The sequence below is a fragment of the Homo sapiens genome, chromosome 4 (genome assembly GCF_000001405.40).
Source record: "Homo sapiens chromosome 4, GRCh38.p14 Primary Assembly".
Taxonomy (NCBI): domain Eukaryota; kingdom Metazoa; phylum Chordata; class Mammalia; order Primates; family Hominidae; genus Homo; species Homo sapiens.
Genome location: NC_000004.12, coordinates 157,845,987 through 157,873,082, shown reverse-complemented (window position 1 = coordinate 157,873,082; position 27,096 = coordinate 157,845,987). Strand labels below are relative to the sequence as shown.

Here is a 27,096-nt window from a genome sequence, read left to right as displayed (position 1 = left end):
CGGGAAAGGTTGGCTGTCGAGGGATGGGAAACTCAACACAGTATCCAGAGATAAGCAAGCTGTTGCTGATGTGGTTAATTTTATTTGCTTTTTCTTTTAAGGTCAGATGGACTTGAGTACGTTAAATTCTTAGGAAGAAGTCAGAATGAAGGGGAAGAGGGGAAAATTTAAAGTACATAAGAGAGAGGGTAATTGGGAGTCAAAATGGATCTGAACTTCAGAAACCATACTATTAAAGGAGTGACATTAATAGTATGGTTGGGTCTTTGGTAGAAAAAAGAATGCTCCTCTACAGAAATAAGAGAAGGACATAAGAATACTATAGTGCTGTTAACAATTCATGAAAGCTAGGAGATGAGAATGCTAAGGCCATGACAAAAAAGTAGAGGTGATGCTCTGGGGAGATTAGATAGCAGTGGAAAATAAAGAGAGACGAGGAGGTGGATTACAGATTGGAGTAAAAACATTCTTCAGGGACTGGAAGCCACAGGGGCCAGGCACAGTGGGAATATTTTAAGCATAAGGCTAAATGGATGTGTTTGGTCACTTTAGGTTGAAGATCATATGTATCCAGTGAGACTGAGGTTATTTCCAAGAAAACTTCAGTTGGTTTTATAGAGAATTGACTGAACAATGTGATTTTGATGAGTTTATCAAAGTCTAAAATTGTGGTCTTTTATGTCCAGAAACTGGTGTTTATCTCTACAATTAATGATAATGAGCCCGGTATGAAAATAGATAGAGAGAGTTATCCATTTCTGGAACCTGGAATGCTCACATACACCATTGTTATTAGAGCTCAATGTGTAGGTATCAGGTAAAACTAATAAGGAGAAATACATAGGTTGGAAGTGGGGTGCTTAGGGACTTAAAGAAATAGCAGTATTTTAAAATAGCCATTGACAGGAAAAAACAGGAGACTTCACCAAATGTAAGTGAAGCATAGTTTATCAATAGTTTAGCTCAACCACGTTTCCAGAAAAAAAAATCCCAATTTTTGAATGATCTTTAATTGCTTCTGCAGTTAAATATGAATATACATTCTTAAAAATAATCACAAATTTTGCATTATTTTGTTATCTTTGTATTTGGACGGTATGCCCCAAGAGATATATATTACTTAAAAATTAGTGTCTTGCCTTAAAATGGTACAAATTAAATTTAAACCAAATCATACAGTACATTCATTGGAGAAGCTAATTATGTTACAATATTTTCTCAAGATTCACTTTGTGAAGCAAATATATATCTATAATATGTATAATATAATATATTAGATTATATATTATTACCTACAATATGTATATGTATTATATACATATTATAGATATGTAAATAATCACTTAATACATTATTTATAAAAAAACTTTGTATAATAAACATTTATTTTGAGTGGGTCATACATGCTATGGGAAATATTAACTAAAAGAATCTTTTTAACAATAGTTTTTCGTGTTTTCATACTGATTATTCATTTATCATTTATATTTCTAGTATATAGAAGTAAAGAAGGTGATATAAAAGTAATAAAATTATTCGACTTTCTTGAAAATGCAGTGAAAATGGCATTTTTGATATCAGAGTTATAGCACATTATATTTTAAGATATAATTTGCATTCAACCCACACAAAAGCTTTAGAAATCCATTCCATTTGAAAATTAATTATTCCTGTCCTCAATATAGCCTTTGACAAAGTAAGAAACAGTTGGATTCATTCTAATTTGCTTCAAGTAGTGGTAATTAGAGAGAGTGTGAAGAACAGCTCTCTGCTCAATTCTCTCTAATTATTATAAGACACATATTAAACCTCTTAGGAAAGCAAATGCTTTGAGTCCACTACCTCCAACACTCTGGAAATATAAAGTAACATACTCTTTCCCTGTTTCAGTTATTTAAAGAGAAATAGGTTACTGAGGAGCCATTGCAGATTTTCACGAGAACCATTTTAGATAGTCTTTTAAAAGTGAAAACATGGCATAGACTAAAACTCTCTGAAGATTTTCAGAAGTTTTCCTATCAAATCATATCCTATCTTGTTATTAGTGTGGCATTATGTGTGACATAATGTTCATTCCTGATTAATTTGGTGTCCAATCAGTCCAGCCTAGTGAAATAAGCTTGAATCTGGATTGTTCTATCATTTTTGTGCCCAATATTAGATCATGTGCAAATATGAGGACAATGTCTTCACCCTCTTCATGGCACCGGCACAGAAAAAGTCCAAGCCCTGTGACACTTTACTAGAGACTTCCCATCATGCTGACCAGGTGTTAATAGCCAGTTCTTACTGGGGCTTTTTGACAAATGCGTTCCAGGTTTGCCTAACACTGGATTGATTGTTCACCATTTTATCCATACTTACGTCTTAGAAGAGTCACAGCATGCTTCCGTAGTATTTGTGTAAGTGTGTGGACTACCCAATCAGTAATAGTAGTAAAAGATCACAAGTAAGAACTGAAGAGGCAGGAAATAGAGGTGGGATAAGGCGAGACTGGAAACTGGGCTTTAGGCTCCAATTACATAAGATATTACACAACAGTAACATTTTGGTAAGGGCTATTATATTTCCTTCTGGAATCAGGTAATTGTAGTAACAAGAATAATGGCCCTCCAAAGATGTCCTTGTACCAATTCCTAGTATCTGTGAATATGTTACCTTACATAGCAAAAAAGACTTTGCAGATATAATAAAACCATGGAACTTAAAGTAGCAAAATTATCCCAAATTATTTGGGTGGGCTTGATGAAATCCCATGAGCACTTGAAATCAGAGAATAGTCTCCACCTAGAAGAAGAAGACTGAAGAGAAATGCGACAGAAAGAGAATCAGAGCAATTCCAAGAATGAAAATGATTTGACATGCTAGCTCTGAGATGCAGGGCCCACTTGCAAGCATGTTTCCTTTAGGAGATAAGGAAGACCTCTAGCTGCCAGCCAGCAAGAAGATGGGGACCTCTATCCTGCAACCATAAGGAACTAGATTTTTATCAACAAACTGAATGAGCTAGGGAGCAGATTCTTCCCTAGAGCCTTTTGAGGAAAACCCTGCAAAGCAACATCATGACTTCAGCCTTGTGAAATCCAAAATAGAGGAACCAACTGTGTCAACAATAAACTTCAGACCTGCAGAACTGTGAGATCATACATTCATGTTGCTTAAAAGTGCTAAATGTGTGTAGCAACAATAAAAAACGACAAGTAATTAATATCATTGTTAATAATTTTTGTGTAAAGTTTGGTTAATTTTCTAGGTAAGCAAAATGACAATAGTGATTTCTTCAAGTAAATGTTTCACTTAAACTCATCAAATTGATTGGTTGTAATTTTAATGTTACCTGATTGCTAATCTAATCTTAATGTTTACCTGTGAAGAACGTTATATATGGACAATATCTGTCAGGCTTTAGTTCATGAGCAAGTGTTTTCACTTATCTCAAATTGTTATAGAAATAGAGGAATAGAAATTAAATACTTTGGTTTATTATGATCAGTTTTCACAAGTAAACACCAAATTGGAGTTAAAAGTGTTCTTCATTTAATATCAGGACATCTGGGTTCTTCAGTGACTTTGACTTAAATAAAGCAGTGTCCTTGAGCAACCCATTTATTCCCAGGATGAGTTTCATTGTCTGTGAAACAGAAGAATTCATAAAAATGATCTGCAGGACCCTTGCTAGCCCTGAGTCCTGTGGTTCTGGGAGCAGTGCACTGAGGGACAGGTGGAGATTAACTATAGGAGCTGGACATGGGGAGACAGTTCATATTTTATCTTTCTCAGAGAATTGTTATGAGGACAAAAATGATAACAAAAATAATTTTCTCTCTCTACCTGCAAGTGCTTTCCATCTGGGATTAGATCTGAATTCATTTGGGCTAGCCAGGTGCTCACTTACTATCCCATTGTCTTTTCTGGACTACACGTCCCTCCATATGTTGTATATCTTCCTTTAGGTTGGAAAAATGTTTAACTTTTGTTTAAAAATTGCAAAGCAAACACAAGTTTTGATATTATACTTCTGTCAGTCGTTCATTATTTCCAAATTGTCTATCTCTACATTGTTTTAAAAATATTTTAGGACATTTTGTTGCATTTAAAATATTTCTTTGTTTTATTCTGTTAATAACAACTGTGCTGAGCCAGGCATGGTAGTTGATAATATTTTTGGTTAGATAGCCATTTAATGTCTGTTTTAAGCAATTCCATTACTGGGTATATACCCAAGGGAATACAAATCATTCTACCATAAAGATACATGCATGTGTATGTTCTTTGCAGCTCTATTCACAATAGCAAAGACATGGAATCAATCTAAATGCCCATCGATGGTAGATTGGATAAAGAAAATGTGGTACGTATACAGCATGGAATATTATACTCCCACAAAAAAAAGAATGAGATCCATGTCATTTGCATTCGGAACATGGATGGAACTGGAGGCCGTTATTCTTAGCAAACTAATGCAGGAACAGAAAACCAAATACCACATGTTCTCACTTTTAAGTGGGAGATAAATGATAAGAACACATGGACACGAAGAGGGGAACAACACACCCTGGGGCCTACCTGAGGGTGGAGGGTGGGAGGAGAGAGAGGATCAGAAAAAAAACTATTGGTACTAGGCTTAGTACCTGGGTGACAAAATAATCTGTACAACAAAGCCACAAATTTACCCCTTAACCTAAAATAAAAGTATTTTTAAAAAATGCTCAGTTGCATTTCATCATCATATATATATTGCTACAAATGGGATTTGCATAACATTTATGCTATGAAAAAATAATAACTATGTTAAGTTAAACAAATGTAAGTAAAATTAAATGATCTCAAATGCCCGAGTCACTTCAATGTTTGAAAACTAAACAATTATAAAATGTTATTAATTAAATGAATATATTTTGTGTGATATAATAGGTTGCCTAGAGGGAGCAGGAAACTTTGTTGGACTCATTTGATTATGCAGTTGCTTAAGGCTGAGATGTCATGTTGCATAAGTTATATATATTAACATAAATATGAACCTAGAGGGGTGGATTTTTTTCTAAACATGGATTATAGCTGCCATGCCTGTGACTTGTTATTTTTTTTCCTTAGGATTGTGTGTGTGTGTGTGTGTATCTGTGAGAGAGTATGTTAAATTCGTATTATAGCTTTAGAGTATGCCACCTACAGCCTGATCTCTGTTGTGCTGTAGGGTATTAGGAAAGATCTTTTCCATGTTCTGGAAGGAGCAGCTTGGAGGACACCAGGCTACCATGAAATTCCGATGGCTGCACGCATCACCTTCTTAGTGGTTGACCTGGGCTTTCATTTGATATAAACATTCTTTAACTCCCTGCTAGCAAACTTTACATCTCATCTCTGTATGTAAAGGAGCGTCTCTTCTACACATAGCAAGTCCCCCTCCTGGACTTTAAAACCTATCCTTCTCACCTTTCACAATCCTCTCTCTACTTATTATTCATCCTTCCCCCCAGATTTTCATCCACTACCTGTCATCCAGATTTATCTAAAATGTTTACACATGCTCGAGTGTCTCATGTGTTTAAAACAATCATTTCATTCCCACTACTTTCCATGTATCACCTTCTCATAGCAAAATCCTTGAAACTTGTATGTGCAGTTTCTATTTCCCCATTTCCTACTATCTCCTTAATCTACTTCATTATAACTTCTAATAGCACCAGTTGCTTTTAAGAGGCTAAAATGCATGGGAAATTTTCCAGGACTTATTTTAATAGACCTCTCAGTAGTTTGGGACACTGTTGACCATTCATTGCTTATTGATTGCTCAAAGGGTATAATCTTTTAGTTATAAGATGAATACGTTTTGAAATCTAAGGTATAGCATGGTGACTATAGTTAACAATACCTGAAATATGCTAAGAGAATAGATATTATACAGTATAGCATGGTGACTATAGTTAACAATACCTGAAATTTGCTAAGAGAATAGATATTATACAGTATAGCATGGTGACTATAGTTAACAATACCTGAAATTTGCTAAGAGAATAGATATTGCATGTTCTCACTACAAAGCAAACAAAAAAAGGTAATCAGGTGAAATGATAAATGTATTAACTAGCTTGATAGTGGTAATCATTTCACAATATATTTGTGTATGAAATCATCATTGTACACCTTAAACTTATAAATTGTATTTATCAACAATGCCTCAATAAAGCTGATTAAAAAAGGAAAAAGAAATTCTCTTCCCTTGGCTTTAGATATCACACAGTCTAGTTTTTTTCCCGTCTTTCTGGCTGCTTTGTACCTTTCACTGATTAATGCAAATGTTGGAATTTCTCAAAGGTTTATTCTAAGCTCTCTATATTTTCTTCCTCTGTATTCTCCCTACCTAAGACTTCAGTGAAACATGCAGTCTCCCCATGGATGCTTCAAAGGTTTGTCAAACTCAGCAGGTCTGTGACTGAACCCATAATCTTCCTGCCCACACCAGGTCCTTGACTTTCTCCCACCTTCTCACACCTGTCCTGTGACAAATCTGTCACTGAATCCTGTGGATTCTCCCTCCTAAATATCTTTTTGAGTCTGCAAACTTGTATATTTCTATGGAATGCACCCTAGTCCGAGCCAACTCTCTCTCTCTCTATGTTAGCATCCTGACAGGCCTCCCTCATCCATCATGCCCACCTTTCCATTCCTGTATATATCTCAGCCAAGGTGCATTTTCAAAATACACAACTTGGCCCTTTTTATCTGACTCTTTAATCATTCTCATTGCAGAGCAAAAAAGTTAAAAATAAAAACAAGCAAACAAACAAAAACTGAAATCCTCCACAACTTTAAATATAGTTAAAAACAAAACAAAATATCTCTCTATGGCCCGATCCTTGCTTTCTGTCTAGGCTTTTTTCTTCTATGACTCCACCTCCTGGTCTTCTGGCCGCCAGTCGTATTGTCCCTCTGTGAACTTCTGGAATGGGCCATTTTCCCTGCAACACCATGGTGTGCATGTTGTTTTATCTGTTGCCTCCTTTCTCCCTGTAGGTAACTCCTTCTTACTCTGAGGTCTGAGGTCAAAATCTCTTCCTCATTATGCTGTTATAGCATAATTTATTTTGCATTTTTATGTTTTCTTCTCTTCATTTGGTCAGATACTTATCTCAGTTTGTATATATGCATTTGTTAATGTGATGCTTGGAATAATTTCCCACTGCCACTGGCTTGCCAGACCCCTAAAATTTGAAAATATATCACTATTTTGCTTTTAGTTCCTAGGTGACCCGTAAATGTTTCTTTTACATTGAATGAATGATTCTTGTCATCCTTAAGCTATAACCCACATGCAAGTTCCTTCACACCTTTGCAGTACCTTCATTTACGTTTCCAAACCTTCCTACCCGACATCCTCCTAGCACTAACTCCCCACTTACCCTTAACACTTTGTCCTCATTAACTTGTATTTCCAAGAAATATTATCATCCTCTTAACCTCTTCAAAAAATTATTTTACCTATTTGCCTTATCACTAATTCTCATGTACCTTGGGGCTGGAATCAGCAATGAATAGTTTTAGTAAAGTCAAGATAGCCCACTCTAAAATACAGCTTTTCTAGCCCTCTGTAAAATTCTCTACTCCTTTAATGAATGATAACCAGCTAAAACACCTTCTAGCCTTTCCCACTGTTATTATCTATTAACATCCCGGGTCATTCTCCAACATTTTCCAAAGGCTTTGCCTTCTATTAACTTATACATTCATTTAAAATAGTTAAAATGATGCTAGGCATGGTGGCTCGTGCCTACAATCCCAGCACTTTGGGAGGCCATGGTGGGAGTTTTTTTAGAGCCTAGGAGTTTCAGACTAACCTGGGCAACATCGCAAGACCCAGTCTTTTATTTTATTTTTTAAATTTTATTTATATGTTATGTATTTATATTTATTTTTTATTTTTGTAAAGATGTAGTAATTTTCTGATGCTGAAGGGGTTAGGCAGTAAATAATGCAAGGTGGCCAGACAGAGACTGAGGTGAGTATGCAGTTTAGAATGTTTGGATGGTCTAGAAAAGCCTATGAAGAGAGGCTATCAATTTTTATATTCATAATTGTGTAAAGTGGTGAAGTTTAAAAGGCTGAACCCTAGCTTTTGAGTTTCCAGATGACCTTAAGGAGGGACGACAGGGCTCTGATAGATGCACCTCAGGTTAGAGAGCTTCTCTTGTTATAATTTTGCCCTATGCTTCTTTATTGTTTGTCTTCTCCCCAACTCTCCAACTGCCACACACACACAGAGGAACACAGACTGGGTTGACACCCTACCTCACTCACTTATCTTTGTGTCTTTGAAATTATCTAATCTTTGGGGGAATGACAGGGGTGAGAAGGAAAGTTCAGGTACTACTTAGTTCTAAATTCTGTTGGCTCAGAATAGACAATGATCTGTCATGAGCCAAGTGGCTCTCTAGAAACCCTGCCCCATTTACCCGCCTTCCAAAGTGCCTGACCTTCTGCTTCTGTGCCTCCCACCCCATACACAACAGATATACCACCACCTCTGCCTCCCCAACAGTTTGCCACAGTTTAGTGTGTGTGTGTGTGTGTGTGTATGTGTGTCAGAGAGAGACAGAGAGACAGTTCTATGATTAAGTATGCCCACTTTTGTTCCTCTGATATTTCTAGAGTTGAATCAGAGTAGAAGCCGCCAACCTATATCGAGTTCACTTTCTACTTTTGAAAGAAAAACCCACCAGTTACCTAATTGCCAACAACAATTAAAAAACCTTGTTTCAATTTTTACCTGATGCCTTGGTAAGATTTAATTCTGCTGACCACTCTACTACTTGCAACTATCCTTTCTTACAGAGTTTACTGCCTGATTCTCCCCTAAATGGCCTCTGAAAAATGGTCCCTCCTATGTGTTTCAAGATAAACTGTAGTGCCTTAAATGCAGTCTATGAGATTTTATTGTTCTCTCTCTATCAGGGAAGATTCGTCCTTCGCCACTGAGCTGGGACCCCTGGTGCAGCCTATCTGAGTCATTAGTCACCAATATGTGCCCCGTGTCAGTCTCTTTCATGTTTATCATGTTTTTACACATTCTGTTTCCTCTACTGGAAATGTCCTCTGTCCCACCTCCTTTCCTCTTTCCAAGCTTCTCAGTAAACTGCTTTTTCCTCTGGGGAAAAATAAAAGAGAAAACAAAAACAAAAACAAAAACAAAAAATGGAAAAACAAAGAACAACATTACTGGCATTGTCTAGTATGTCAGAATCCTCTCCCTTGTTTCTATATTTTGATTTCATCATTTTTTTGTCGCTCTAATGTTGGATTTACGCCTCTCCTCATGTCCCCTCTGCCTAATCTGTGAGCCGCTGCATGGCATAGACTTTGGTCCTTCAAAAATTTTTGTTATACACTAGTCAGTTAAGAAACCTGTTACATTAGGCCAGGCGCGGTGGCTCACGCCTGTACTCCCAGCACTTTGGGAGGCTGAGGCGGGCGGATCACTTGAGGTCAGGAGTTCAAGGCCAGCCTGGCGAACATGGTGAAGCCCTGTCTCTACTAAAAGTACAAAAATTAGCTGGGCGTGGCAACACATGCCCGTAGTCCCAGCTACTTGGGAGGCTGAGGCAGGAGGATCACTCGAACCCAGGAGGCAAAGGCAAAGGTTGCAGTGAGCCACTACACTCCAGCCTGGGCAACAGAGTGAGACTCTTTCAAAAGAAACAAAGAAAGAAAGAAAGACAGAAAGACGGAAGGAAGGAAGGAAGGAGAAAGAAAGAAAGATGTTACATTAATAAACCTGAAGCACAATAAATATTTGCTGTGAACTAGATCTTCACAGAAATAAACAGTGGGTTTATTGCTAAAAATTTTCAGAGAAAAATTAATATGATTTTTTTCTTTGTTAAATTTTTAGTGAGTAAACAACAATGTTGCCAGCTTTCTACTGGACTAGAGCAATAAATTACTGATTTTCTAGAGGCATAGATATTGATAGACCAAGAAAATTAAGTGTCTTTGTGGAACATTAGTTTATTTTAATGGAAAATATTTGCTAAACTTATGGATTTTATATTATATATTTCGATACCATTTAAACAGTTTAAAATTAAATGAAGTTTGAGCATATTTGTATAATTGCACAAAACAGAAAAATCAACAAAAAATGAACATATCTGACTTTCAGCTATCTCTTTCCTTTTTTGAGATCACAAAAGTAATTTGGAGGATGATAATCAAGATGCTTAAAGCACCACAAAGGAGATAATTCATTTCTACACAATTATACTACTTCCAAAATGCCTTTGGGTTTGAAAATAAGGTTAATAAAAGGAAAGTCTTTCCTGTAAGTCAGCTATAAAACCAGAACATACACTCGTCCTCTACCAAGGTGAAAGAAATACAACTGCTCTAGGGAACTGTAAAAGAGCCTTAAAGTAAAAACAAACAAACAAAAGTCACTTCATGTCCTTTGCAGGGACATGGATGGAATTGGAAATCATCATTCTCAGTAAACTATCGCAAGAACAAAAAACCAAACACCGCATATTCTCACTCATAGGTGGGAATTGAACAATGAGATCACATGGACACATGAAGGGGAATATCACACTCTGGGGACTGTGGTGGGGTCGGGGGAGCGGGGAGGGATAGCATTGGGAGATATACCTAATGCTAGATGACGAGTTAGTGGGTGCAGTGCACCAGCATGGCACATGTATACATATGTAACTAACCTGCACAATGTGCACATGTACCCTAAAACTTAAAGTATAATAAAAAAAAAGAAAGAAAAAAACAAAACAAAACAAACAAACAAAAAAAACAAGTGTGAAAGTTGATAAAAAAAGACTAGTTTAAATCCTTTCCCTCTATCTACATAAAAACATTTCTTATTATTTTTCTTACAATTTATGACATATTAGTGCCTGCTAGTTCCATTCTGACATTCTGCACATTTTTTTTTAAGTAAAGGGCAATTTCTCTTTAATTAATGCCAAGAAGAATTACTTGCACATTAGAATTGATTCATGATTCATCAGTCATATTTTCTGAAAGACACTTATTTGATTAGAAGGTAAAAAAAAAATCAACCTTGTATAATTCCCGTTTCATTTGATATGTACTCTCTTCATGTTAGTGAGCCCAGCTATTTTTCCATAAAACTGCTCCCTCTTCAGTTCCTATTACTTTTCTGCATATTTGACAATTAATACTTTTTTTTTCTGCTACCTGCTGCTGAACTAATTTTCTTGCAGATTATGTTTGTTAGTCTCCTTCTATTTTTATCCCCCTGGAGAGTGGCTCATTGGTCTTTTATTTTTAACAAGCTTCACGTTCCTCTGTACAGTTCCAGTGTGGCATGTGAAGATGGGTACAAAAGCGAACTCGTTTAAAAATCTGGGTCCTGTTGCAAAACAACGATTATTTCCAAAATTTTGCAGGTTTTCATTTTCAAATTCTTGTCCCAGTTAGATAACAGGTCTATTCTGGTTATTCTGACTCTGAAAACTCAAGCATATTACTAAATAATGTTGTAGCTTTTATATTATAAGTGAAATATTATAAATCCTATTTGTCTAATTTATCTGTGGTGTTTTTCTACTCAACTTTATTTAATATTATTAAATTCTTATCTAATTATAGTGCAAGCAATCTGATTGCCAGAACTAAGACTGTGTGGGCATGTTTTTGGTAAACCTCTAAGCTCAAGGCCTTCTTATAAATCAACCAAAACATGATATATGGTAATATATCTTAGAATACCAATTCTCAGACCAAAAGTGAGCTATTTGGTTATTCTTATATAGAAATATAAACATGCCTTTCCTGTGCTTGTTTTAAATATCTCAAGATAAGCTAATGCTTGAGAGATAAGATTATTTTTATAAAAATATCTTTTTTCATGAAAGGCTGTTTTCTTTTTATTTCTGAAAGGCATGATCAGTTCTTTCCATTATTGTGATATACTGCTTCTTTTTCAAGATGCTCTCTAAGTCTCCTTCATATCTGTCATGCCTTTTTATCGAAAAGCTTCTGTAGCTATTTGGGGGCATATCTAAAGGTAATGTATGATAAAATTATAATGAAAAAGCCAAGTAATAAAAACGTGCAAGTTTATTTTGTTTAGCTGGTCTAATGCCACCCAGGCTAAGTTGCTGTATTTAAACTTCACACAAAATATTTAAAATTCTCTTGTTATTTTCATTGAGATATATTTAACATAAATAATGCGCAGATCTAACTGGTCAGAACAAAGAGCTTTGACAATGACATATGACCTGTAAACGCAACTTACAACAAGATTAACTTTCCATCTCCTGGGAAAGTCCCCTATGTTCCCTTCCAGTCAGTTCTGTTCTCCAGTGCTCCATCAACTATTATCAAATTGCCATCAGTTTAGAATAATTTTGTCTGTTTTTATATTTTGCAGAAACGAATCATTTAGTATGCACTCTTTTGTGTCTTGCTTTTTCTTTTTTTTCATGTAGAAATGTTTTATTTACACTGTATTACAAAATATCACATAAAGTCTTGTTGGTATTTGGATGGTTATACTGAATTTTAGATTTACTTAGAGACATTTGACTTTTTTTTATACATGTATTTTTTTATTATACTTTAAGTTCTAGGGTACCTGTGCACAATGTGCAGGTTTGTTACATATGTATACATGTGCCATATTGGTGTGCTGCACCCATTAACTCGTCATTTACATTAGGTATATCTCCTAATGCTATCCCTCCCCACTCCCCGCACCCCACAACAGGCCCAGAAAATCATTGTGCCTATCAGTAGTTCATTTTTTAAATTATTGAATAAAATTCCAATTTCTGTGTGTATTTGTGTATTTTTTCCTTTTGGATGCCTGGGTCATGGCATAGATGTATGGTGAATATCATAAATAAATAACAAACATTTCTCCAAAAATGTTGAATCATTTTATACTCCCATTATTTCAATAATGTATGAAATAACTGCTTGCTGCAAATCCTAACCAGTAGTTGCTTTTGTTAGTCATTTTGATTTAGTCATTCTAGTTGATGTGAAACTGTATGTCATTGTAGTTATAATTTGCATTTCTCTAACAAATGACATTAAACATATTTTTATGTGTTTATTGTCCATTCATAGATCTTCCTTTGTAAAGTATCTGTTCAAATCTTGTGCTCATTTTTTGCCACATTGTTCATTTGTAAATTTATTGATTTATAAACATTTTTCTATATTCTGGAAGCAAATGCTTTTGTCAGACATGTGTGCTGCAAATATTTTTCACAGTCTGTGTCTTTCATATAATTTTCTTATTGGCATTTTGATGAACAGGACAGAAATTTTAAATTTTAAAGACTTCTAATTTACCATTTTTTTTCCTTCAGAACTTATGTTTTGTTGTTGTTCTGTCCTAGAAATCTTTGTTCATAACAACAAAACATAAGTTCTGAAGGAAAAAAAAGGTAAATTAGAAGTCTTTAAAATTTAAAATTTCTGTCCTGTTGTTCTAAGAACATATTAAAAAGATTCCTTTACCTAATAAATTAACTTAGATCAGTTGTCCAGAGTCTATTTCTGGACTCCCTATTCCTTTTTATTATCTATTTGTCCATGTTTATACCAATAAAATACTATCTTTATTACCTAATTTGGTAGTAAGTCTTGAAATTAGGTATTATGAGTCCTTTAAATTTGATCTCCCTTTTTGTTTTCAAGGTTGTTTTGGCCATTCAAGCTGTTCAATATCCTTTTGCTTTCCCCCCAAAAAATTTTACAATAGGCTTGTTAGTTTACAAAATTTGCAAGAATCATTTTTTTAAGTCACAGACGTGATTCTTGCAAATACCATATATCTGAATCTTACCTTTTTTTCATTTCATGAAGTTTGACAATCTTCTGCTTGAAAATGAAGTGTTTAGTCTATTTCTCTTTAACGTAATTTGTAATATGATTGAGATTCAGTCCCCCATGAAGGTATTTTTTTTTTATAATTGGACCTTTTTTTTTATCTGTTATTCAATTTCTGCCTTATTCTGGTAAAATTTAAAATATTAATAATATTCAATTTTATCTTCTGCATTGGTGTTTGTGACTATGGCTCTTTGTATTAATTTGTAATGACTGCTCTACAGTACAGTGTAAAAACCTTATACAATTCCATTTACCACTCAACCCACAACTCTTGTGTTATTGTTGGCATGTATTTTACTGAAATATATGCTATAATGCTATAATACATTGTGGGTTTTTTGCTAGAATATTCAATAATCACCACAGTTTTTAAAGATATCTAATAAAGTATAAATATATGGTATATGTCAATATAATTTGTTATAAATATATTACATATACTTATATGTAAATGTAAACTTTTTACATTTATCCTATTTAGTTATTGGCAATAATTTGGTTATACTTTTAGACAACATTCATAAACTTTAATACTTCATTAAAATAGTAAATAATTGGAGGGTTTTTATTGTAGCTTGTACTGCTATTTCTATTTTACAAAGGCAGAAACTTGCCAAGATAATTGTTAGAGGGAAAACTTTTTTAAGAACCTATGTTTTTCTGACTCCTGGGACAATATGCATTTTATTCTACCATTGTGAAAGTGGCAAGAAAACTGATGGATAGAATAAGGTTTCCTCTTCATTGGCCATATAATCCATATTAAAGGCAGGCCTAACTTTGAATAGTTTGGAATGATTCTCCAACATACTAGTCAGCAAAAGCCCAGACTATGTTCCTGTCTCTGAGATCCACTCATCATCTACAACCTCATACATACTGTTTTATGCAAAAGCTTTTAAGTTAGAATGTTTAACACTAAACTACTTTTAAAGGATTAAAAATGATATCTTTATTTATAAGTAATATATGTCAGTAGTCTCACCTTCATTTTTATTTTGTAATCTGAGGTTCTGTCTGTCATTTGCATGTGAGGCCATTGCTGTTGGTTGGGTTTTTCAATAGGCATTGCAAACTCCTTCAACCCATGTTCCAAAATACCTTTCCTGCAGAGACTGGAAAAGCTTAAAGTTGCATTTTGTAAACCCACTTAGAGCTAGGAGTCTAGCTATGACTTAGATTCTACTACTCTGATATGGACTTGGATTTGGAACTGAGTCATGCCAGAGACGCTCAAAAATGGGGATCTATTTTGCTGCTGTGAAGCATAGTGTCATTGTCCTGGAGGAGACAAGTGTAGAGCCACTTCCAAATTTAACAGGCAGCTATCTGATCAAGTGGCCTGTGGGTCAGGGCAGAAAAAGTGTGGTTCTGAAGCCAGCAGTTTCTTAATTCTGTAGCCATCACAGGTGGTTGTTTTCTTGGCTGCAAAGTTTGACTTTATGAGTTATGCGTGATAACTCATTTTAGATTTTAAGAGCTCTTCTAAAGACTCGATAACCATTTCTTACTTCCTTAAACGACCTAAACTAACTATTTTACTTAGCAAAATCCGGAGCTCTGCAGGAAGTCTGGGATCACATTTATATGCAACCTGTTAGTAACTAAATGATACTAACAAAATTATACTGAGCCTGAAAACTTTGGAGACATTTCTAAAATGGTAACCATGAGAGGAATAAAAGTGAAAAGGAAAATGAGGAACTTTAAACTTGATGGAAATGGCATGAATAAACATATTGTTTTATATGTCAATAGATTTATATGACATTCTAAATCAAAGGTAGTGAAAACAAGAAAACTTTAAAAAAGTGAAATTCTTTCATTTGTTTTAATCAATAAAACATCTTCCTTTCATTGAGTGTATCAAATAGCTATTTTGTTCCTGGAAGACAGGACAAAATATTTTACCTGTTAAGTTGTTATGGGGAAAAAAAGTGGGAGGGAGGTGTTAAAACTAAAAACATTCAAATACAGATGTAGACTAGACTAACCTGACTCCTGGACTTGCTGAGTAATTTACCCGGAAAACTGACATTCTCTTTACACAACATCACTGTAAATGCCAGAAATGTGCAATGGCTATTTTCCTTTGGTTATTTGCTCAGTAGGCCCCAGATCACTAAGGGATATGTAGGCTCGTAGAAATGTGTAGGGACACAACAGGTGCTGGAGAGGATGTGGAGAAATAGGAACACTTTTACACTGTTGGTGGGACTGTAAACTAGTTCAACCATTGTGGAAGTCAGTGTGGCCATTCCTCAGGGATCTAGAACTAGAAATACCATTTGACCCAGCCATCCCATTACTGGGTATATACCCAAAAGACTATAAATCATGCTGCTATAAAGACACATGCACACGTATGTTTATTGCGGCATTATTCACAATAGCAAAGACTTGGAACCAACCCAAATGTCCAACAATGATAGACTGGATTAAGAAAATGTGGCACATATACACCATAGAATACTATGCAGCCATAAAAAAATGATGTGTTCATGTCCTTTGTAGGGACATGGATGAAATTGGAAATCATCATTCTCAGCAAACTATCGCAAGAACAAAAAACCAAACACCGCATATTCTCACTCATAGGTGGGAATTGAACAATGAGAACACATGGACACAGGAAGGGGAACATCACACTCTGGGGACTGTTGTGGGGTCGGGGGAGGCGGGAGGGATGGCATTGGGAGATATACCTAATGCTAGATGACGAGTTAGTGGGTGCAGCGCACCAGCATGGCACATGTATACATATGTAACTAACCTGCACATTGTGCACATGTACCCTAAAACTTAAAGTATAATAAAAAAAATATATAAATGTGTAGGGACTTGGGAAGTCATTCTTCTCTCATGTTTTCTCTTGTAATTTGTAAAACTCTGTAAATTGTGATATCATTTGCCATGAACTGTACATGTTGGTCTCTTTCTGCCATTTATAATACCACCCCATTGTGGCAACTAGCAGATGGACATATTTTAAATGGGCAAACACATTCTTTTCCAATTAAACTTCTTGTTTCTAAAAATTTATCAATTGTGTATATCTGCTATATTTTTATATTACTAACTTCAATTAAATATTAGCCAGCATTCTCTTCATATTTTCTGCTTCCTTCTTTGAATGAATTTCTACTCAACCTAAGTTGTGTTTCCTTAGAGTTATAAACATTTATGATTATCTTCATTGTTCCATAGTTCCTCAGCTATAATTGAACACTGAATTATGCATTAGAGACTGTTTTCCTTTTATAATGTAGATTTTCATTATTCAGTAATGTATTTTATTTTAGTTTTATGTATCTATAGATATAAAACTTTTAGAGTTGCATACCTGTATTTATATTGATTTTTATTATGCATACCTATTTAAAATTATCTGAAGTTTTCTCTTTTAGTCGTGGCTCTGCCAAATTTTGGTATCAGGATGAGTTTGGCTTCATAGAATGAGTTACGGAGGAGTCTCTCCTCAATTTTTTGGAATTGTTTCAGCAGGAATGTTACCAGCTCTTCTTCGTACATTCATCCGTATGAATGTGGCTGTGAATCTGTCTGATCCTGGGCAGCTCTTGGTTGGTAGGCTATTTATTACTGACTCAATTTCAGAGTTCATTATTGCTGTGTTCAGGGATTCAGTTTCTTCCTGGTTCAGTCTTGAGAGGGTGTTTGTGTCCAGGAATTTATTCATTTTTTTCTAGATTTTTTTCTAGATTAGTCGATGTGCATAGAGGTGTTCATAATATTATCTGATGGTTGTTTGTATTTTTGTGGGGTCAGCGATAATATCTCCTTGTCATTTCTGATTCTGTTTATTTGAATCTTCTCTCTTTTCTTTATTAGTCTAGCTAGGGGTCTATCTATTTTATTAATGTTTTCAAAAAAACAGCTCCTGGATTAGTTGATCTTTTGAATGGTTTTTGGTGTCTCAATCTCCTTCAGTTCAGGTTTGATTTTGGTTATTTCTTATCTTCTGCTAGTTTTGGGATTTTTTTGCTCTTCTTTCTCTAGTTCTTTTAGTTGTGATGCAAAAGTCCTCAGCAGAGTACTGGGAAACTGAATCTGGTAGCATATCGAAAAGGTTACCCACCACAACTAAGTAGGCTTTATCCCTGGGATGCAAGGTTGGTTCAGTTTATGCAAATCAATACATGTGATTCATCGCATAAATAGAACTAAAGACAAAGATCACGTGATTATCTCAATAGATGCAGAAAAGTCTTTTGATAAAATTCAACAGCCCTTCATGTTAAAAACTCTCAGTAAACTCAGTATTGAAGAAACATACCTCACAATAATAAGAACTGTTAATGACAAACCCAGAGCAAACATCATAGTGAATGGGCAAAAGTTGGAAGCGTTCCTCTTGAAAACCGGCACAAGACAAGGATGCCCTTTTTCTCTGCTCTTCTTCAACATAGTATTGGATGTCCTGGCCAGGGCAATCAGGCAAGGGAAGGAAATAAAGGGCATTCAGATAGGAAGAGAGGAAGTCAAACTTTCTCTGTTTGCAAACAACATAGTCCGTGTCTAGAAAAACCCATTTCTCAGCACAAAAGCTTCTTAAGCTGATAAACAACTTCAGCAAAATCTCAGGATACAAAATCAATGTGCAAAAATGACTAGCATTCTTCTACAACAATAGGCAAGCCAAGAACCAAATCAGGAATGCAATCCCATTCACAACTGCAACACACACACACACACACACACACACACACACACACACACACATACACACATGCAAAATACCTATGAATACAGCTAACTGGGAAGGTGAAAAATCTCTACAAGGAGAACTACAAAACACTGCTCAAAGAAATCAGAGATGACAAATGGAAAAACATTTCATGCTCATGGATAGGAAGGAAAAATATCGTTAAAATGGCTGTACTGCCCAAAGTATTTTACAGATTCAGTGGTATTCCTATTAAACTACCATTGACATTTGTCACAGAACTAGAAAAAACTATTTTAAAATTCATATGGAACCAAAACAAGAGCGTGAATAGCGAAGGCAATCCTAAGCAAAAACAGCAAAGCTGGAGGCATCACGCTGCTTGACTTCAGTAACCGAAACAGCATAGTGTTGGTACAAAAACAGACACATAGACCAATGGAACAGAATAGAGAACCTAGAAACAAGGCTGCATACCTACAACTATCTATCTTTGACAAACCTGTCAAAAACAAGCAATGGGGAAAGGATTCCCTATACAATAAATGGTGCTGGGATAACTGCTAGCCATATGCCAGACTAAAACTGGACCCCTTGCTTATACCATATACAAAAATTAACTGAAGATGGATTAAAGACTTAAATGTAAAACCCAAAACTATAAAAACCTTGGAAGACAACCTAGGCGATACCATTCTAGACATAAAAAGAGGCAAAAATTTCATGAGGAAGACATGAAAAGCAGTTGCAACAAATGCAAACATTGACAAAAGGGGTCTAATTACACTAAAAAGCTTCTTCACAGCAAAGAAAACTATCCATGGACTGTAAAGACAGCCTACAGAATGGGAGAAAATTTTTGTAAACTGTGCATCCGGCAAGGGTCCAATATCCAGTATTTATAAGCAACTTAAATGAATTACAAGAAAACAAACAAACAACCCTAATGAAAATTAGGCAAAAGGCATGAACTACTTTACTTTCGTGTTTTTTTTTTTTTTTTTTTTTTTTTTTTGAAACAGTCTCACTCTGTCACACAGGCTGGAGTGAGTGGTGTGATCTCGGCTCACTGCAACCTCCGTCTCCCAGGTTCAAGCAATTCTCATGCCTCAGCCACCTGACTAGCTAGGATTACAGGAATGTGCCATCACGCCTGAATAAAATTTTTGTATTTTTAGTAGAGAAAGGGTTTTGCCATGTTGGCCAAGTTGGTCTCAAACTCCTGGCCTCAAGTGATCTGCCCGCCTCGGCCTCCCAAAGTTCTGGGATTACAGGCATAAGCCACTGCACCCAATGACACTTTTCAAAAGAAGACATGCATGCAACCAACAGTCTTATGAAAAAAAAAAAAAGCTCAACATTACTAACCATTAGAGAAATGCAAACCAAAACCACAATGAGACACCATCTCACACCAGTTAGAATGACTATTATTAAAAAGGCAAAAAATAATAGACGCTGGTTTGGTTGTAAAGAAAAAGGGACATTTATCCATTGTTGTTGGGAGTGTAAACTGCTTAAAGCACTGTGGAAGACAGTGTTGTGATTCCTCAAGGACCTAAAAACGGAAATACCATTTGACCCAGCAATCTCATTACTGGGTATATATCCAAAGGAATATAAATTGTTCTGTTTTAAAGACAGATGAACACATATATTCTTTGCACTACTATTCAAAATAGGAAAGACATGGAATCAACCTAAATGCCCATCAATGATACACGGAAAGAAAATGTACATATACACCATGGAATACTATGCAGTCATAAAAAGTAATAAGATCATGTCCTTTGCAGGAACATGGATGGAGTTGGAGCCCATTATCCTTAGCAAACTAATGAAGGAACAGCAAAACAAATACCACATGTTCTCACTTATAAGTGGGAGCTGAATTATGAGAACACATGGACACAAAGAGTGGAACAACACAAACTGGAGCCTATCAGAGGAGGGAGGGTGGGAGGAGGGAGAAGATCAGGAGAAATAACTAATAGGTAGTAGGCCAAATACCTGAGTGAAGAAATAATCTGTAAAACAAACCCCATGACACAAGTTTACCTATGTAACAAACCTGCACTTGTACCCTGAACTTAAAATAAAAATAAAAAATATAATAAAATCATCTGCAGACTTTTTCTCATCTCATGTTCTTTCAGGTTTGGGGTGGCATTGAAAAATGAAACGATCTCTTGACTTTGCCTAGAGAATTTCACCAACTAAGCCTGGACCTTAGATTCTCCATGGGTCTTGCAGACAATGTAGAGTCTGTAAGGTGAACAGTGGGGATTGGGTCAGACTCATTCCCCAGGTGCACACCTCTTCATGTGCTCTACAGTTTATACAATCTCTTGTGCTGATACATGCTGATTACAATGGCTATGTGTTGTACAATTTAATGAATATTTAGTAATATATTTTTATTCAATATTTGTGTTTCTATTTCTTATTTCTACAAACAAAGCTTCGGTAAACTTTCTCATGCACCTCTTGTAAAGAACATGAGCAAGATTTTTCTTTATAGTGTAGGTATTGAGGCAGAAATACTAGGTTGTAGGATATGTGCTTCTTCATCTTTCCTAGGTTGTGGCAATTTCTCTTTAAAGTGCTTATACCATTTTGTATTCACATCAGCAACATATGTGTTTCTCTTTTCCTCTTGTTTTCAGTACTACTCGGTACCAGATTTTACAATCAAAGCTACAATAGAAAGGGTTTTTTTCAATCTCACTTTCGTTTTCTTTTGTGTTTCCATGATGCAAAACTGATAATTTTTTCATGTATGTTGAAAATTTAAGCTTATCTCTAGGAAGTGTCTACCCAAGTCTTTTGCCCTTTTTTCCTATTTTTTGTTATTAATTTGAAGAAATTATTGACATGTTCTGGGTATTATTTTTACTGTTGGTGTTTTGTTTTTTCATTGCGAATATCTTCTCCAAGTCGGTGGCTTAATATTCTACTTTATGATATCTTCTGTAATGCAGAAATTTTTGTTTCAAAATAAAGTGGCATATAATTTGTAGATTATGTGTCAATAAGCAAATTGTTTTCTGTTTCAATTTCATAAAGATAGGTTTTTTTTCTTCTAAGCATTTTCAAGTTTAGCTTTTCAAACTTTAATACACATGGGAATTACTGTTTGTTTATATGATATGAAAAAATGACCTAGTATTAATTTTTTATATGGATAACCACTTGTCTATGACCATCTATCACATAATCCCTCTTTTCTCACTGTTATATTCTAAGTGTGGATATTCTCTATCTAGATAGTATATCCCCCCTCAATTTGACAATATTTAATCCAAGGAATTTGCACATAAATTCTTAAGTGAGATTGTCATGTAATTTTCTTTGCTCAAATTGTTTGTCTGTTTTTGTTGTTGTTTTCTTCCTGTGCTGGATGCAGATCCAGACATCATCTTAGACCATGGAGAAAAGAAACAGAATTCTACAGTAAGCTGAAGCAGAGCCGCCCATAGCCTTAACCTGCTTGAACTTCCACCAGAGAAAGCACTATAGTTCTGCTTTGTTTGATCCCTATGTGGGGAGATCTTTTCTAATAACAGCTACAAAGCTAATCCTAAATAATACTTAGCTATATTCCATATTTTCTTGAGCTAGACTTGGTATTTTACATTTTTCTGGAAATTTTATATACATTTAAAAATTTTCAATTCATTGCAATAAGATTGTTCATAATAAACTCTTATGCTTTTTTAAAATCTTTACCCTAAAGCTGCATGCCATTTTGCAGACTTGATTTTATTCGTGACTTTGTCTCTTTTCCTTAATTAATTTTTGTTTTGAATTTGTCTTTTTAATAAACTAAATTTCATTTTATTAATCACTTCGATCAATTCTTTAATTTTGGTTACATTACTTTTTACTCTGACTTAAGAATTCCATTCATCTAATACTCTTTTAATCTAGTTTTATTTTATACTTTAATACTTTGATTATTTAACTAATTAGTTGTAAATCTTTTTAAAGATCTACATAACTTTATACATTTCTCTATAAACACCAATTTAGCTGCATTCCACACATTTAATCTCTAGTCTTTTATTTTATCGCAGAATAGTGCTTTCCCACATGTAAAACTTCCTTGTCATTTCTTGTAATGATGTACTCCAAGTACACTGCCCTATTTTCCACTCTAAGATCCTAACTTACTGCAGGTGGACCATCTTCAGCTCACTGCTTCTCACATGCCTAACATAAATGTTCCGATTTCATGTAAATATTAATACTTTCTCTAGCACCTAGAAGCTTATATAATGTCAAGATATGTACCTTGATATAGACACTCTAGCCCTGGAGAGGCCTCTCCTCTCCAACACATCCCCACTATGACAGTTCTTGAAATTATTGTCTCATTTTTTAGTTACTTCTTTTTGTCTTTTCTTAAACTATTTCCATTTCTTTTAAAGTCAGATATTGATTTTTTCCTAATATTTCTATTAAAGAGGGTACACATTATTGAAACTTATTGCTGTAAATGTAAGCATTAGATGTTTACTATAAGTATATATGGTACATTAAATTATTATTTTATGAGGTTGTTCTATGTAAAAACATTTCTTTTAAATTAGCAATCAACACATTTTTGGCAATACTTTTTGACATCGTCTATGATATCCATGTTTTTCTTCTACTTATTGATATGTGCACTATATAAATAGACATCCTAATATTAAACACATCTTTTATTCCTGGGATAAACGCTAGGTAGTCAACATGATGGTCGGACTGGATTTTCTTTAGGGTTGCCATAGTGGCATTTAACAGGTGTCATTGATGCATAGCTTTTATTTAAGGAATCATTCCTAATTTCTAGTTTCAGGACTAGATTCTGTAGCATAGAAAACTATAATGATATGTGTAAAACAATATAATCCAAAATTCTTTTAAGAAGGCAAATTATTGATAACTTACTCTATATCTTATGTAGTTATTAGACTTTAGTTTTCAAAGCTTTGGTTTGGGTAATTGATTTATCACAAAAATATAGAATTTTATATGTATTAACTATAATTATAAACGTGATTTTCTTATAAAAATCTCTGTATTGTTATAGTTCTTTTCTCATTTCCAATTTTTTTCATCTTGTTTACATTTTTACTATGTGTCCTAGAGATTGGTCTACTTTTATAATTTTCAAAAATTAATTGTAGCTTTTTTTAAACATATCCTATTATTTTTTGAATATCATCTCATTAGTTTTTGAAATCAGTCCTTAATGTTTTATCTCTTGTCGTACATTTTTTTCTTTATTGTTAATCTACCTAAAGAAAATTTAAACATGGAATACGCACCCCTACTTCCTCATCAATTTATGGTGGTATTATCTTAAACATGGGGTTTGGTTTTTTGTGGTAGGTTAATTCATATTTTAAGAATGAATGATTATATAGAAAAACACTTGAGTGACTAAGGTAGCTAACATTGGGAGTAAACCTATTAAACTTTAACAATATTTTTTAATACTCTAAAAGAAAGCAAGGACAACATCGTGCTAAATAAAGACAATGTCAGTGATGTTACACAATTTAAGTAAGGAACGTATCCTTCACTTGAGTAGGGTTTTCAAGTAGAAATTTCACTGTTTCTCTCTCTATTGTTTGTGGCACTCAGAATGAAGGTAAGGCAGAGAAGAGCAGAAATATTTTTGCATATTTGTCTTTGACCTTCAGTACAATGCCGATCTCCAATTTACCCTTTCCCTTTTCTTTTTTAATTTAGATAAAATATGAAGACAAAGTGAATTAGTAGTAAATTTGTCTTTGACCATGGCATCTATTCTCTTTGTTGCAATTAGTGTTTTAAATCTTTAGATGCAATTCCTTAGGAACAATCTGGAGTCATATCTCTTCCGGAAAAATCTGAAACTACTTGTGGAAAACTAGTAAATGTAGACTAATATTTCACGCCTTTATTACTATTATAGAGCTTTGCCAAAGATTACTTTAAACGAGTGTTCAATGATTAGAGGTGTGTAGACTTTAGCAGAGAAAAGGGAGGACTTTTCTGTGTAATGTCTCAGGAAGATCAATTTTCATCATGCCCTTTGTGTAGTCACCATTGAAATGGCTTCTGCAGAACATTTGAGGCCTATTTTTGTAGTAACTCTTACTTTTTACATCTCTGATGAGATGAAAATCATGTGATTTCAGTAAGAAATTTGCTTGGGGACATATTATAATAATATCCAATTATTGATGAATGCATTATATGTATTGGATCTCTGGGCCCCTGAGAGATGACAATGAATCAGATTCTTGCAGTGAAACCCTGAGTCCTTATTTTAGCACATTTCCCCCAGGTTATTCTGATACATAATCTTATTTCCTTTCCACTGCCTTAAAATAGCAAGTGTTTTACTCGTAATAGACATTTCTGTGGGATGAATAGAATGTAACTGTTTCTTAACTGTATGCAAAATGGAGTTTTGGAAAAAGTTTCATTCTCTAAGGCATTCGATGAAGTCCTAAAAGATTCACATCTTTGCTTCATTACATCATCTGGTAATAAGTATCTGGTAGGCACTTTTCTGGTCACATAAATATAGGCTCTGAAGATGTTCAGCTGATTTGCAAATATAATACATTTTAAATTCATGAAAAGAAAACTGTTTTGGTATATTGATGAATTTTAAAATGTCTTCAATCCCTCTTTAAAAATGATCTTCGTGATGTTAGCAACATGGTAGTTATAACTATAGAAGTGTAGTATTTCAATGATACTTTTGAGAACGACTCATTTTCTGCAAGTCTTTTAATAATCCACACTTACTTACAATGGTCAATGATCTCCACCTCAATGTCCCACGGAAGTGATATGCCAATTCTCAAGAGATAGGCCTCACTTCCAGTTGATGATGCCAACGAGATTTGACATAGTGGGGAGCAGCCCTTGCTCGTGTTGACAGAGATAGCCCTGCTGATTAAATAGCCTTCCAAGGCACTCCATAAATTCAGCCACACATCGTTGATACTGACACTCTCATTCTCTCACTAATTCTGTGATGCTGGGGAAGTCATGTATGTTTTGTATTTTTCAATTACTTATTTCTATGATGCAAAATTTGGGGAAGAATATGAAAATCATAATACACTTGACATTATATTAACATTTTACAAATCCTATTTTTTTTGTGATCTAGTGGCTATTTGTCACATGTTCAATGATCTGGTATCTTTTGAACATCCTTCCTATGGTTCCTAATCAGCGCCTTGTTCTCAAGTTAGAAGTGAGAACGCCATCTCTCAGGCTTCGTATTGGCTGGCTAGATTACCTTGGCTCTGCCAATCAGAAAAGTTTGGGAGACTTTGGATTTGGAAGTAAGCAATAGGGGGAAGTGCATACAGTGCAGAATGCATTCTTCCGTGGGGATGGAGGCAGAGTCCTGGGAACCTTGTATCCAGCCTTAAAGGTGTGAGCTGCCATGTTTGTGCTGAGCAGCAGAGGCAGTGATCATCTCACTGGAGCAATGCCCACATTGTGGCATGTATGCAGCTCCAACCTGCTGAGACTGACTCTACAGCTTTCTTAGAGATGAGCTTCCTAATATTTCTTAATTCATTTCCTAACGTAATTTAGAGTAGATTCTCATCTCCGTAACAAAGAACTCTGAACTCACGCATCCTCTCACACTTGTTAACTACTTTTTAGGCATTTTGTTTTCTTCCTGTTTTTTCAAAAACATCATTTTGTTCCCATTTCAGCACTCTTCATGGGATGTTCCATCTGCCTCAAATACAAATATTTTCAAGCTTGACTCTTCTCATCCTTTACACCTCTGCTCAAACACCACTCTCTCAAAGAAGCCATTCTCCTTATTCCTCTCCTTTCCAATCCAGTAATCTCTATCTCCATCTCTTGTTTCATTCATTTGTTTGTGTAGTTTCTTTTTTATTTTTTCATTTCAATAGGTTTTGGGGGAACAGGTGGTGTTTGGTTACATGAATAAATTCTTTAGTGGTGACTTCTGAGATTTTGGTGCACCCGTCACCTGAAAAGTGTATCCTGTACCCAATATGTAGTCTTTTATCCATTGCCACCCCTCACACGTTCCCCGAGACCCCAAAGTCCAATGTATCATTCTTATATGTTTGCATCCACATAGCTTAGCTCCCACATATGAGTGAGAACATATGATGTTTGTTTTTTCACTCCTGAGTTACTTCACTTAGAATAATAGTCTCAGTCTCCATTTCCATCCAGGTTGCTGCAAATGCCATTATTTTGTTCCATTTTATGGCTGAGTGTAGTCCATGTTATGTTTATCATGTTTTCTTTATCCACTCATTAGCTGATGGGCATTTGAGCTGGTTCCATATTTTTCCAATTGCAAACTGTGTTGCTATAAACATGTGTGTCCAAGTATCATTTTCATATAATGACTTATTTTCCTCTGGTAGATACCCAGGAGTGGGATTGCTGGATCAAACAGTAGAGCCACTTTTAGTTCTTTAAGGAGTCTCCACACTGTTTTCCATTGTGGTCGTACTAGTTTCCATTCCCACCAGCAGTGTAGA

At 35.0% G+C, this 27,096-nt stretch overlaps 1 long non-coding RNA gene across 1 annotated transcript in view; it reads left to right on the top strand.

Annotated features, from left to right (window-relative positions):
* Positions 1-27,096, top strand: part of LOC105377509 (uncharacterized) — a 227,163-nt gene that overhangs the window by 157,510 nt on the left and 42,557 nt on the right. The window lies entirely within an intron of this gene.